Source organism: Homo sapiens, chromosome 10 (assembly GCF_000001405.40).
Source record: "Homo sapiens chromosome 10, GRCh38.p14 Primary Assembly".
Classification (NCBI taxonomy): domain Eukaryota; kingdom Metazoa; phylum Chordata; class Mammalia; order Primates; family Hominidae; genus Homo; species Homo sapiens.
The window spans coordinates 55,973,347-55,985,311 of NC_000010.11; the positions used below are offsets into that span (position 1 = coordinate 55,973,347).

The 11,965-nt window shown below is 36.9% G+C and overlaps 1 annotated feature.

Moving 5' to 3' along the window:
• Positions 5,749-6,501: an enhancer, noted in NCBI's record as "OCT4-NANOG hESC enhancer chr10:57738855-57739607 (GRCh37/hg19 assembly coordinates)". NCBI's record gives its function as "activates a minimal SCP1, AML or CMV promoter by ChIP-STARR-seq in naive and primed H9 embryonic stem cells {active_cell/tissue: H9 hESC(naive and primed)}" and the evidence as "EXISTENCE:reporter gene assay evidence [ECO:0000049][PMID:30033119]".

The following is an 11,965-nucleotide window of genomic DNA, read 5'->3' on the forward strand; positions in this document are numbered from 1 at the left end:
GTTGCAATTACTTGCCTGCACTGTGAGACAAAACCCCAGCCACATCTCTGGCACACAAGAACTTCAAAATGCCTAAGCCACAATGGTCAGGCTTTCCTTCAGGACTTCCTCCCCCAGGATCTTATTTCAAGTGCCAGAAATCTGGCCACTAGGTCAACGAATGCCCACAGCCTGGGATTCCTCCTAAGCCATGTCCCATCTGTGTGGGACCCCACTGGAAATCGGACTGTCCAACTCGCCCAGCAGCCACTACCAGAGCCCCTGGAACTCTGGCCCAAGGCTCTGTGACTGACTCCTTCCCAGATCTTCTCGGCTTAGCGGCTGAAGACTGACACTGCCCGATCGACTCGGAAGCCTCCTGGACCATCACAGATGCTTTAGGTAACTCTTATATTGGAGAGTAAGTCCATCCCCTTTTTAATCAATATGGAGGCTACCCACTCCACATTACCTTCTTTTCAAGGGCCTGTTTCCTTTGCCTCCATAACTGTTGTGGGTATTGACAGCCAGGCTTCTAAACCTCTTAAAACTCCCCAACTCTAGTGCCAACTTGGACAATATTCTTTTATGCACTCCTTTTTAGTTATCCCCACCTGCCCAGTTCTCTTATTAGGCTGAGACATTTTAACTAAATTATCTGCTCCCCTGACTATTCCTGGGCTACAGCCACTCCTCATTGCCACCCTTTTCCCCAGTTCAAAGCCTCCTTTGCATCCTCTCCTTGTACCTCCCTACCTTAATCCACAGGTATGGGACATCTCTACTCCCTCCCTGGCAACCAATCACACGCCCATTACTATCCCATTAAAACCTAATCACCCTTACCCCGCTCAACACCAATATCCCATCCCACAGCAGGCTTTAAAAGGATTAAAGCCTGTTATCACTCGCCTGTTACAGCATGGCCTTTTAAAGCCTATAAATTCTTACAATTACCCCATTTTACCTGTCCAAAAACCAGACAAGTCTTACAGGGGTTATTTCAGGATCTGCGCCTTATCAACAAAATTGTTTTGCCTGTCCACCCTGTGGTGCCCAACCTGTACACTCTTTTGTCCTCAATACCTTCCTCCACAACTCACTATTCCATTCTTGATCTTAAAGATGCTTTTGTCACTATTCCCCTGCACCCCTCATCCCAGCCTCTCTGTGCTTTCACTTGGACTGACCCTGAAACCCATTAGCCTCAGCAACTTACCTGGGCTGTACGGCTGCAAGGCTTCACAGACAGCCCCCATTACTTCAGTCAAGCCCAAATTTCTTCCTCATCCATTACCTATCTCAGCATAATTCTTCATGAAAACACACGTGCTCTCCCTGCTGATCATGTCCAGCTAATCTCCCAAACCCCAACCCCTTCTACAAAACAACTCCTTTCATTCCTGGGCATGGTTAAATACTTTTGCCTTTAAATATCTGGTTTTACCATGCTAACAAACCATTATATAAACTCACACACACACACAAAAACCTAACTGACCCCATAGATCCTAAATCCTTTCCCCGCTCCACTTTCCATTCCTTGAAAAACAGCCCTAAAAGCTGCTCTCACACTAGCTCTCCCTAACCCATCCCAACCCTTTTTTCATTACACACAGCCAAAGTGCAGGTCTGTGCAGCTGGAATTCTTACACAGGAGCCAGGACCGCGCCCTGTAGCCTTTCCGTCCAAACAACTTAACCTTACTGTTTTAGCATAGCTCTCATGTCTGCGTGCGGTGGCTGCCACTGCTTTAATACTTTCAGAGGCCCTCAAAATCACAAGCTATGCTCCACTCACTCTCTACAGTTCTCATGACTTCCAAAATCTATTTTCTTCCTCATACCTGATGCATATACTTTCTTCCCCCCTCCACTACCTCTCAGCAAGCCGAACTCATTGCCTTAGTTCAGGACCTCACTCTTGCAAAGGGACTGCAAGCCAATATTTATACTGACTCTAAATATGCCTTCCATATCCTACACCACCATGCTGTTATATGGGCTGAAAGAGGTTTTCTCCTTACTAAAGGGTCCTCCATCATTAATGCCTCTTTAATAAGAAGTCTTCTCAATGCCACTTTACTTCCAAAGGAAGCTGGGGTCATTCACTGCAATGGCCATGAAAAGGCATCAGATCCCTTTGCTCAGGACAACACTTATGCTGATAAGGTAGCTAAAGAAGCAGCTGGTGTCCCAACTTCTGTCCCTCATGGCCAGTTTTTCTCCTTCTCATTGTCACTCCCACTTACTCTCCCACTGAAACTTCCACCTATCAATCTCTTCCCACACAAGGCAAATGGTTCTTGGACCAAGGAAAATATCTCCTTCCAGCCTCACAGGCCCATTCTATTCTGTCATCATTTTATAACCTCTTCCATGTAAGTTACACACCTCTAGCCCACCTCTTAAAACCTCTCTTTTCCTTTCCGTCGTAAAAATCTATCCTGAAAAAATCACTTCTCAGTGTTCCATCTACTATTCTACTGCTCCTCAGGAATTTCTCAGGCCCCCTCCCTTCCCTACACATCAAGCTCAGGGATTTGCCCCTGCCCAGGACTGGCAAATTAACTTTACTCACAGAGAACAACCCCCTTTGACTGTAATTTTCCATTACCTACCCAAATCCTATAAAACGGCCCCACCACTATCTCCCTTCGCTGACTCTTTTTGGACTCAGCCTGCCTGCACCTAGGTGATTAAAAAGCTTTATTGCTCACATGAAACCTGTTTGGTGGTTTCTTTACACAGACACGCATGACAGTTATACTAATGTATCTCGAATTTTCATCCAGCCTGAAAACTTCTACCTTTTATTTGGAGGGCCTATCAGAATTAATAAAATTAACAATATGCTTGAGCTTTGGCTTGCCACCTAAATGATTGTTTTCCATTTACCTTATGTTTTCTTTGATCCTATATTTCCTCTTTATCAGTCTCCATTTGGAAAAATGAATATTTTTTATTTCATTTTATTTTCATTTTTTTAGCTATTGTTGCGCTGAATTTTATTTCTAAATGTTATAAACACCACAGTGCTTTTTACACATATTTTTTAAGTTGAACAGGTTAGACCTCTGAGCCCAAGCCTGCATGTGTACATCCAGTTGGCCTGAAGAAATTGGAGAATCACAAAAGAAGTGAAAATGGCCGGTTCCTGCCTTAACTGATGACATTACCTTGTGAAATTCCTTCTCCTGGCTCAGAAGTTCCCTCTACTGAACACCTTGTGACCCCCACCCCTGCCTGCAAGAGAAAAACCCCTTTTGGCTGTAATTTTCCACTACCCACCCAAATCCTATAAAACTGCCCCACCCTATCTCCCTTTGCTGACTCTCTGTTTGGACTCAGCCCACCTGCTCCCAGGTAATTAAAAAGCTTTATTGCTCACACAAAGCCTGTTGGTGGTCTCTTCACATGGACGTGCATGACAAAATCACTTCTCAGTGTTCCATCTGCTATCCTCAAGGATTTCTCAGGCTCCCTCCTTTCCCTACACATCAAACTCAAAGATTTGCCCCTGCTCAAAACTGGCAAATTAACTTTACTCACATGCCCCAAATCAAAAACCTAAAATACCTCTTAGTCTAAAAAACCACTTTCACTAAATAAATAAAGGCCTTTCCCACAGGGTCTGAGAAGGCCACTGTGGTCATTTCTTCCCTTCTGTCAGACATAATTCACTTTCTTACTTGGCCCCAACCTCGTCCCAGACACCAGCCCTCTAGGCAACTATCTTCCCGTCCTTCAGCAGGCTAAACAAAAAATTCACCAGGCTGCTACTCTTTCTTGCCTACTCCAGATTCCCAGCCATATAAAAACAAACGCTAGCTAAACAATCAGTTCTTGTTACAAATCTAACCTCTCAAACTCTACAACCTCGATAGACCAGATCCTACCTAGTCATCTATAATACTCCAATTGCCTTCTGCCTACAGGACCTTCCCCATTGATTCACGGTTCCAAAATACAACTGTGTCCATCGGACAGCCAGCCTGTTCTCTCCTCTTCCTCCTAAAAGTCACAAGTACTCTCCCCTACTTCCCTTAAACTCACTCACATTTCTAAAAAGCAATAATAACTGTTATAAGCCTAATACATCCCTTCATTCTATTAGGTCTATTCATCCTTACCCTACTTTTTGCAACAGGGCTTTATGCAGTCACCCCTACTACTGTGCCCCAAAATCTTGTCATCCCTACTATCTTCTTTCTAGTCACACTCCTATTCACCATTCTCAACTGCTTGTAAATGCCCTCCTCTTGTTTACACTGCAGGTTTACACTTTTCCTCCAAACCATCATAACTAATATCTCCTGGTTTTACCTCAAACTGCCACCCTTAGGTCTCTCTTAAAATAAATAAAAAATCTTCAGTAACAAAATACACTCCAATACTTTCAACCTAATAAAGTCCTATTCTTTTGTACTTCTTCTCATTCTCGTTCTTATGCCACCCTCTACCTCTCCCCAGCTATCTCCACCACACTATCAATCTCACTCACTCTCTCCTAGCTGTTTCTAATCCTTCTTTACCAAACAATTGCTGGCTTTACATTTCTCTTTCCTCCAAAATCGCCAAAGTCTCAACTAACTCACTACAAAACAAACAAACAAAAAAACCCTCTATATTTTTAATTAAAAAATATTTTTACCTAAACCAACCTAACCTAATATATGATAACATAAAAAAACTCAAAAATAAAGACCCAAAACTCGCCAACCAAACAAATAATCACACTATACCCCCTTAAACACTCTCTAATTAAATGTCCTGGGTCCCCCCAATTCTTAGTCCTTTAATACCTGTTTTTCTCCTACTCTTATTCAAACCTTGTGTCTTCCGTTTAGTATCTCAATTCATACCAGGCCATCACCAATCATTTTTTTTTTTTTTTTTTTTTTTTTTTAAGATGGAGTCTCACTCTGCCGCCCAGGCTGGAGGGCAGTGGCATGAGCCAATCATTCTATACAACAAATGCTCCCTCTAACAACCCCACAATATCACCCCTTACTCCAAAATCTTTCTTCAGTTTAATCTCTCCCACTCTAGGTTCCCACACCGCTCCTAATCCCCTTCAAAACTGCCCTAAGAAACATCACCCATTATCTCTCAATACCACCCCCAAAAATTTTTGCCGCTGCAACACTTCACCACTATTTTGTTTTGTTTTTCTTATTAATATAAAAAGACAGAAGAGTTAATTTTCATATTAAGAGAAAAAACCTAGGGAAGTTATACCTTGTGCTTAAATATTTGTCTTTTATGGTCCTCTTTGATTCTTTTGTAGATCTAAGTTTCCAATGGGTTAGATTTTCTTTCTGTAAAATACTGCTATTTATTATTTTTGGCAATGTATTATTGCTAGTGAACAATTTACTCAGCTTTTGTTTTGAAAAGTTTTTTTGACGGTGTTCGTCAGATGACTAGTTAATTTGTGGTTACAAAGACCCAGCCCCCTTGACACAATTTTAGAAAACATTTAATTGCTGTTTCTCCTCCAGATATCCCTTGGGCTTATGGGTATAGGAAGATCTGCCTTCTGCCTATGTCATATTTACCTCTTCTTCCCCCTTATGCTATTTCCATTGCTCTTGTACAGTTTTTCGATCCCAAGGATACTGTGCAATAACTTTCTGCACTCAAATCCCTAACTCAGCTTCTGTTGCCTAAGGAATCCAACTTAAGATAATGAGTTTAAAAGAATGCCAGTGCATATGTAGATTTAGTATTCAAATATAGTACTTTCACAGATTCATACAAAAATCATAAACAGCCACAAACACTCACAAGTATTTATATTTGTATATTTATATGTGTATGTATGTGTACTTTTGCCTGCCAAAGATTTTTAAATTCTCATACATTTTTGATTGACATCATGCTTAATTCCAATAAACCTTATCAGAGTAAACGGGTGTAATCTGAAATACCAACATAAACACTCCTTTATCAACTAAGACAGACCCAAAGGTTAAGGAAACAAGGGTACCAACAGGTCCAAGGTTCAGAGCCTGGCTGGCCTGGCAAATCTCTAAATTCTTATGGCTAAACTCCCTAACAATAGGAGCTATCAGCTCTGATTTACAACACAGTCACTACAACTCTGATGGGACAAAGGACCAGACTTACAAAAATTCGCTTCAGATAAGCTACTGCAGACCTTAAGCCAGTTTCAACCAGCTTATATGGGCTACACAGTCTTTGTATCCTATAGTTTCCCTTTTGTCCTACAGTCAAATTCCACTTCATTTTAATGCTGAGACCCTGCCTTGAAATGAACATGAAATGTATGTTACATACATGTCTACCCACCATGCATGGACTCAGCTCCCATCATAAATATGCATAGCTTTTGTCCCAAACCTGCTGAATGTGTGTGATACCAACTTTGTGAGGCATAAAACCTAACCTGTCTTTCCTCTCTTCAAAGAGAGAGGTGGAGACTTTCTCTTTCCAGCCTGCAAACCAGTATCACCAGAAAAGCTCTCCTTTCTACTATTTAGCCATTCTGGTGGTCCTTCGGGTGACAGGGATATTAAGCTTTATGTATAGTTTTATTAAACATCTCTGATAAAGCTCACTGTTATGAACACTTCAAATTTTGAGGACCATGTTCTTTCCCTAACTCAAATCTCAACTTATCTTTCATTCATAGCTTCCTTTAATTTCTATATTAGTTCTGATGCTCCAATATCTTAGATATAGTCTTAAATTGTAGATATCACATTCTGCTAGAATTTCAAGTGTGACAACAGTGAACTCTGTGGCTCCATGATAGTTCTTACAGGAGAGTGGATACGCACCCTTAGGAAGCCCAGAGGGAATTTTCAATTGTTACTATGTTAAAGTGTTGAGATGACCACACTCCTATCTCATTTGTCTCTAATAAACTTTACAAATTTAACTTATATGGCCATAAAATTATTTTATTTGTTTATACCTGATACTTTTTATAGAAATGCTTAAATTCCATTGATGCACATAACTTTCACAATTCCATATACATTCATTATATGTGTTTGTATTTATATATATATAATTTTAAGTTTAATATAATGAACACAATCAGAATGTCAATTAACTTATGACTAAATTGCCATTACATTGTGTTCATTAATGATATTACCTTGTGTTCATTTCTATTCTGAATGTCTTATTTATTATATAATTATACTAATACTGCTAAATTATAATTTTCATATTAGTTGTAACAAATTTGTAATTCATTTTGGAGTACTTAAAGTATTTCTCAGAAGAATAAAGAAACTGAAGTCGGAGAAATTAATTAAAAGACTACTTAATTAATCAGGAGGTCAGGGTAAAAATAAACAGCAAGGAATTGATAAGTTTAAGATACCTATGAGTGCCCTACATTCTAATGTATTTATAGGTTTCACAGACTTTTTAAATATACAATTATACATAGGCTATTGAATTGGCCATTGCATACCTGAGCATTAAAATAATGATATGCTACCTGGATATAAAAACTTACCTTAGTAAGTTTTACTAAGGCAACACTGACCTCACAATGAGTGGACCAGGGAAATACAATTAATTGTCCACATGGAAGCTAGGAAGATATTTCTAAAATGATTAAGATGTTGTGATTTAATAAAGAGACCAAGCAAGTTCTCACAGTACCCCATCTTTGTTTAGCATTTTTCCTGTTTTATGTGCTGAATCCTTATATATGAATTCATGTATAGATAAAATCCTGAAAATGACATTTTATTTTTTTTTATTTTTTATTTATTTTGGGAACAAAGTCCTTCTCTGTTGCCCAGGCTGAAGTCCAGTGACACAGTCTTGGCTCACTGCAACCTTTGCCTCCTGGGTTCAAATGATTCTCCTGCCTCAGCCTCCCAAGTAGCTGGGACTGTAGGCACACACCACCACGCGTGGCTAATTTTTTGTATTTTTAGTAGAGATGGGGTTTCACCACATTGGCCAGGCTTGTCTCGAACTCCTGACCTCAAGTGATTAGCCTGCCTCGGCCTCCCGAAGTGCTGGGATTACCGGCGTGAGCTGTGGTGCCCGGCTTTGGAATTTTGATTTTAAAAACCAGTACCTTATTCAAGTGGATCAGCATTAAATAACACCCTCTTCCAGAATATTGCTAATGTATTTTTAGATTTCTGACTTATTCAATAGGTATTTGTTGCCAAGATTTTTCAAAGAATTAAAGAAAACATATTCTGTCCAAAGCATCTTATGTATTTCTAATTGTGCTACGTAGCAAGAAGCCTAGGTAGAGAACTTTATATTTATAAGAAAATATGTCAGTGGAAAAGCACTAAAACCATGCTTTATAGGCAATCTCAATGAGGATTACTAAATCATGACATACTGGAAAACTTTTGTGATATAAAAACACCTAAGCTTTTGGATTGCGTATTTAACACATCTTACAAACTAAGATAAAAAGAATGATCAGAAAACTTCGGAGGCCATAAGTGTCAGGAAAGATGTAATCCACATGGGTGCAAGAGACACGTAGCTGGTGAAATCCCAGTGTACACCCTGGTGGCCTAGAGCTTCTGTTTTAATGGGCTGTGCAAATGTAATGCCCACGTGAAATAATGATGCTCAATCACAGCATTCTCCCTCAATAACCAGAAAAAATCTTGCCCACAAAGAAAGAAAAGAATGTTTCAATCTTTTCTCTGGATATAGAAGGAAAATAAACAAACAAAAATCTGTACCTTGAACATCTGAAATCTGAAGGGACTTCAGCTGATAATGTAATTTCATAAAGTATTGGGTTAAGCATTGGGACAAAATGGAAAGTCCCAAAATGTTAGGGAAAGGAAATAAGTCTGAAGAATATCACACAAGAAAAGAAGAGGATTTGAATTTTTATTATTCTTTATGGCTACATTTTATTGTGTTGCGAATATCTGAAAGAACACAAATATTTTATGTCAATGTTTTCCTCTTGTGATTTTGTAACGTTAAAACAGACCCTGATAAATTGTATCATTTATAGATCTGCACCTTGAATTGTTGCATAGTTTAACTAATGTATCGATCACATAAGAAACAAAATCTGAAGAAATATTTTTCATTATGCATAAAGCTATTGATATTAACAGTAGGATTTTCATGTCATTAATCATTTAGTACACTGCTGAAAACCAGAATGAGAAAGGAAATACTGGGGTTTTGATTTATTTACTTTATAAGGAACAAACAATAAGAGACATAGCTTATACCTGAGCAAATGTAACTGAAGAAAAAGACAAATTTATTTCAGTAGACTTGTATCATTTTGGTTACTAGTTCAGTGACAAAAATCGATAAAATCTTACTTCAAAAGGCTTCTCATTTTTTCATAAATAATATTAATAAACAAATCCAGAATTCCCAATATTTGCAAATTATGGTCTCAGAGGTAAAATGGCAAATAATCATTACCTCCAGGATATTTCTGTTATTGAAGAAATAAAATTATATATGATTATATTGTAGAGCAGAAAGTATTAAGTGACTCTAGAGATGACAAAGTAAAACACCATAGGAAGTAGAAAGCAACATTACTTCCTACTAGGAAATGACTGATGAAAAATATTGTCTTGGGTTCCATAAAATGAAGAGAATTATAATACAAATTATTAAAAGGGCTTATTTTTTTTGCCTAGAAATAGCAAAAAGTACCAAAGTAATTTTAATAATACTTTGCATTTAATAGTATTTATGATTTAACCAAACAAGATTAAATGCATAAAACAATCTATCCTATGCTGTAACAGCAGCCTCAGATGGTTGCTAAATCTAAAGGCAAAAGCATTTTGTATATTTTATTTCACAGAGAGATAAAAAGTATTTACATAAATTTATATTTTGTATACTGCAGACAATATGATCTCACCATAAAAAAATACACAAATCAGAACAGAAATCATGTTATGAATACAACGGCACTTTTTTCTGCATTCAAGAATTCATACAGTGCAGAACTGTCTGTAAGATTTTGTCTTCTTTTCAACATGCACAAAGTCTTTATTATTCTAACTAGTAAACTTTAAAAATTTATTTTCTGGTTATAAACATGTCATTGAATATAGTCAGATGATCCCATTGTTTAAGTAGCTAATGAGTCCCCCACTACAAGGAACAGTGAAGATCATTCATATGGTTACTAATCCAGTAGAGAATGCCAAGAATATTTGAAATAAATGCCACTCTTAATCAATAGCTATCGTTACAGTGTTTCACGGTGAGATAAAAATAAAGACATACAATTAATTTTGATAAGACATGACTGCTGTAGGTACTGTTTATAAAGTGATACTGTATTTGTTTTTCGTTGGGTAAAATATCAATGCTAGTAAAACAAATTAATGAAATAAAACAAAAATTTAAAATACACTGCTGCTAGGTAGGTAAAATATTGACTACAGTACCTGAGATCAGGATAGTAACATAGTTAATTCCTTTTTAATTTTAGGGTTGAAGCATCTCAACCATTATGAAATGAAATGAAATTCTCACTGCAGCAACTCTCAAATTTTGAGGCAGAAACATTTTCAATATATATGTCAGATATATTTTAAAGAAATGAATTGTCATTGATATAGCTAAAACCAAGTTTATGAAGATCATTGCCATCTTGAGTTTACTGGGTTTCCACACAAACAAATAGTACTGTATTTTTTTTTTATTTTTGAAGTGTACATAAATGTTGTTACCTGCTATTCTCATTAAAATTTTGTTTTCATGTTTTTTATATAAATGCTCATTTAATTAATTCTAGTAGTTTTATTATTTTTTACAAATAAATACGAATCATTAAGAATCATTCATATAATTTCTACACTATGATTCTATTGTCTCTTAATTTATAACATATACATACAAAGGGATGTCTGTATGTATCTTAATCGAATTATAGATCAGAAAAATAAAAAACTCTATAGGATTTTAATAGAGTAATTGGGAAATTGAATATGCACTGGTATTTTTTTTAAAATAGTACTGCATCAGTGTTAAATTTTTTGAGTGTGATCATTGTATTGGACTTATGTAGGAATATATTATTATCCGCAGGAGAAACCTGTCGAATAGTTCAGAAAAATAATACATAGAGAATTTTTAAAAATTTCAAAAAACATTCACGGAGAACATATTCTTTGTCCTATTCTTTTGACTTCTGTACAGGTACAAAATTTTGCAAAATAAGTACAAAATTGGTGTGCACTTGTTTAATTACCAATGAGAAGAATCCATTTGAGAATAAATGTTTGCGCATATGAAGACAGGCAAGCTGGAAAAAAGAAGTTATCCTTACCTACAATAAAAGGACATTCTTTCCAAGAAAGGAAGAATAAGAAGAAATGTAGATTTGGTCTGAAGCTTTGTATCATCTCTTTGAAGACGGTTCAATATTATGGCTTCAGTTTACTCTGTGGGATAGGATGGAAGCCTAGCAACTACCAAAATTGACAATGGGATGAGCGTTGACAATTTCAGGAAATAGAGTAAAAGCACACCTTGACCAGGGAAACATAGTTGGTTCAAAATAATAGTAAATATTTTAAATTTTTTCATTAATAATTTATAGTATACAATTCTGACTTATCTATCTAGCTGCCTAGTTGCTCAGGTATGGAAAAGCAGATAAATTTCATGTAGGCTTGGGTTTTGCCAGAGAGATAACATGAAAAGACTAAAGGGCAGATAAGTTTTTGTTATACAATATTATAAAAGACTGGAACATCTACATTGGAAGAACTGTTTTTATAGGAATAATTGAGCAAGCAGCTAAAAAAGAGAGGATATTATTTGTGAGTACAAAGCTGGAAAGACTCTGATGTAGGACCATAATAGATCCAAGAAGGCAATATGAACAACTACTGTTTCATCTTATGTAAGCAACCAGTCTCTTTGTTCTAAGAGATCTATTAATACTGCAAATTAGTCATAGCCTATTAGACAGTATGTCAGTTTTAGATTTAGTTATCTTTTTCTATCTTTTTCTTCTT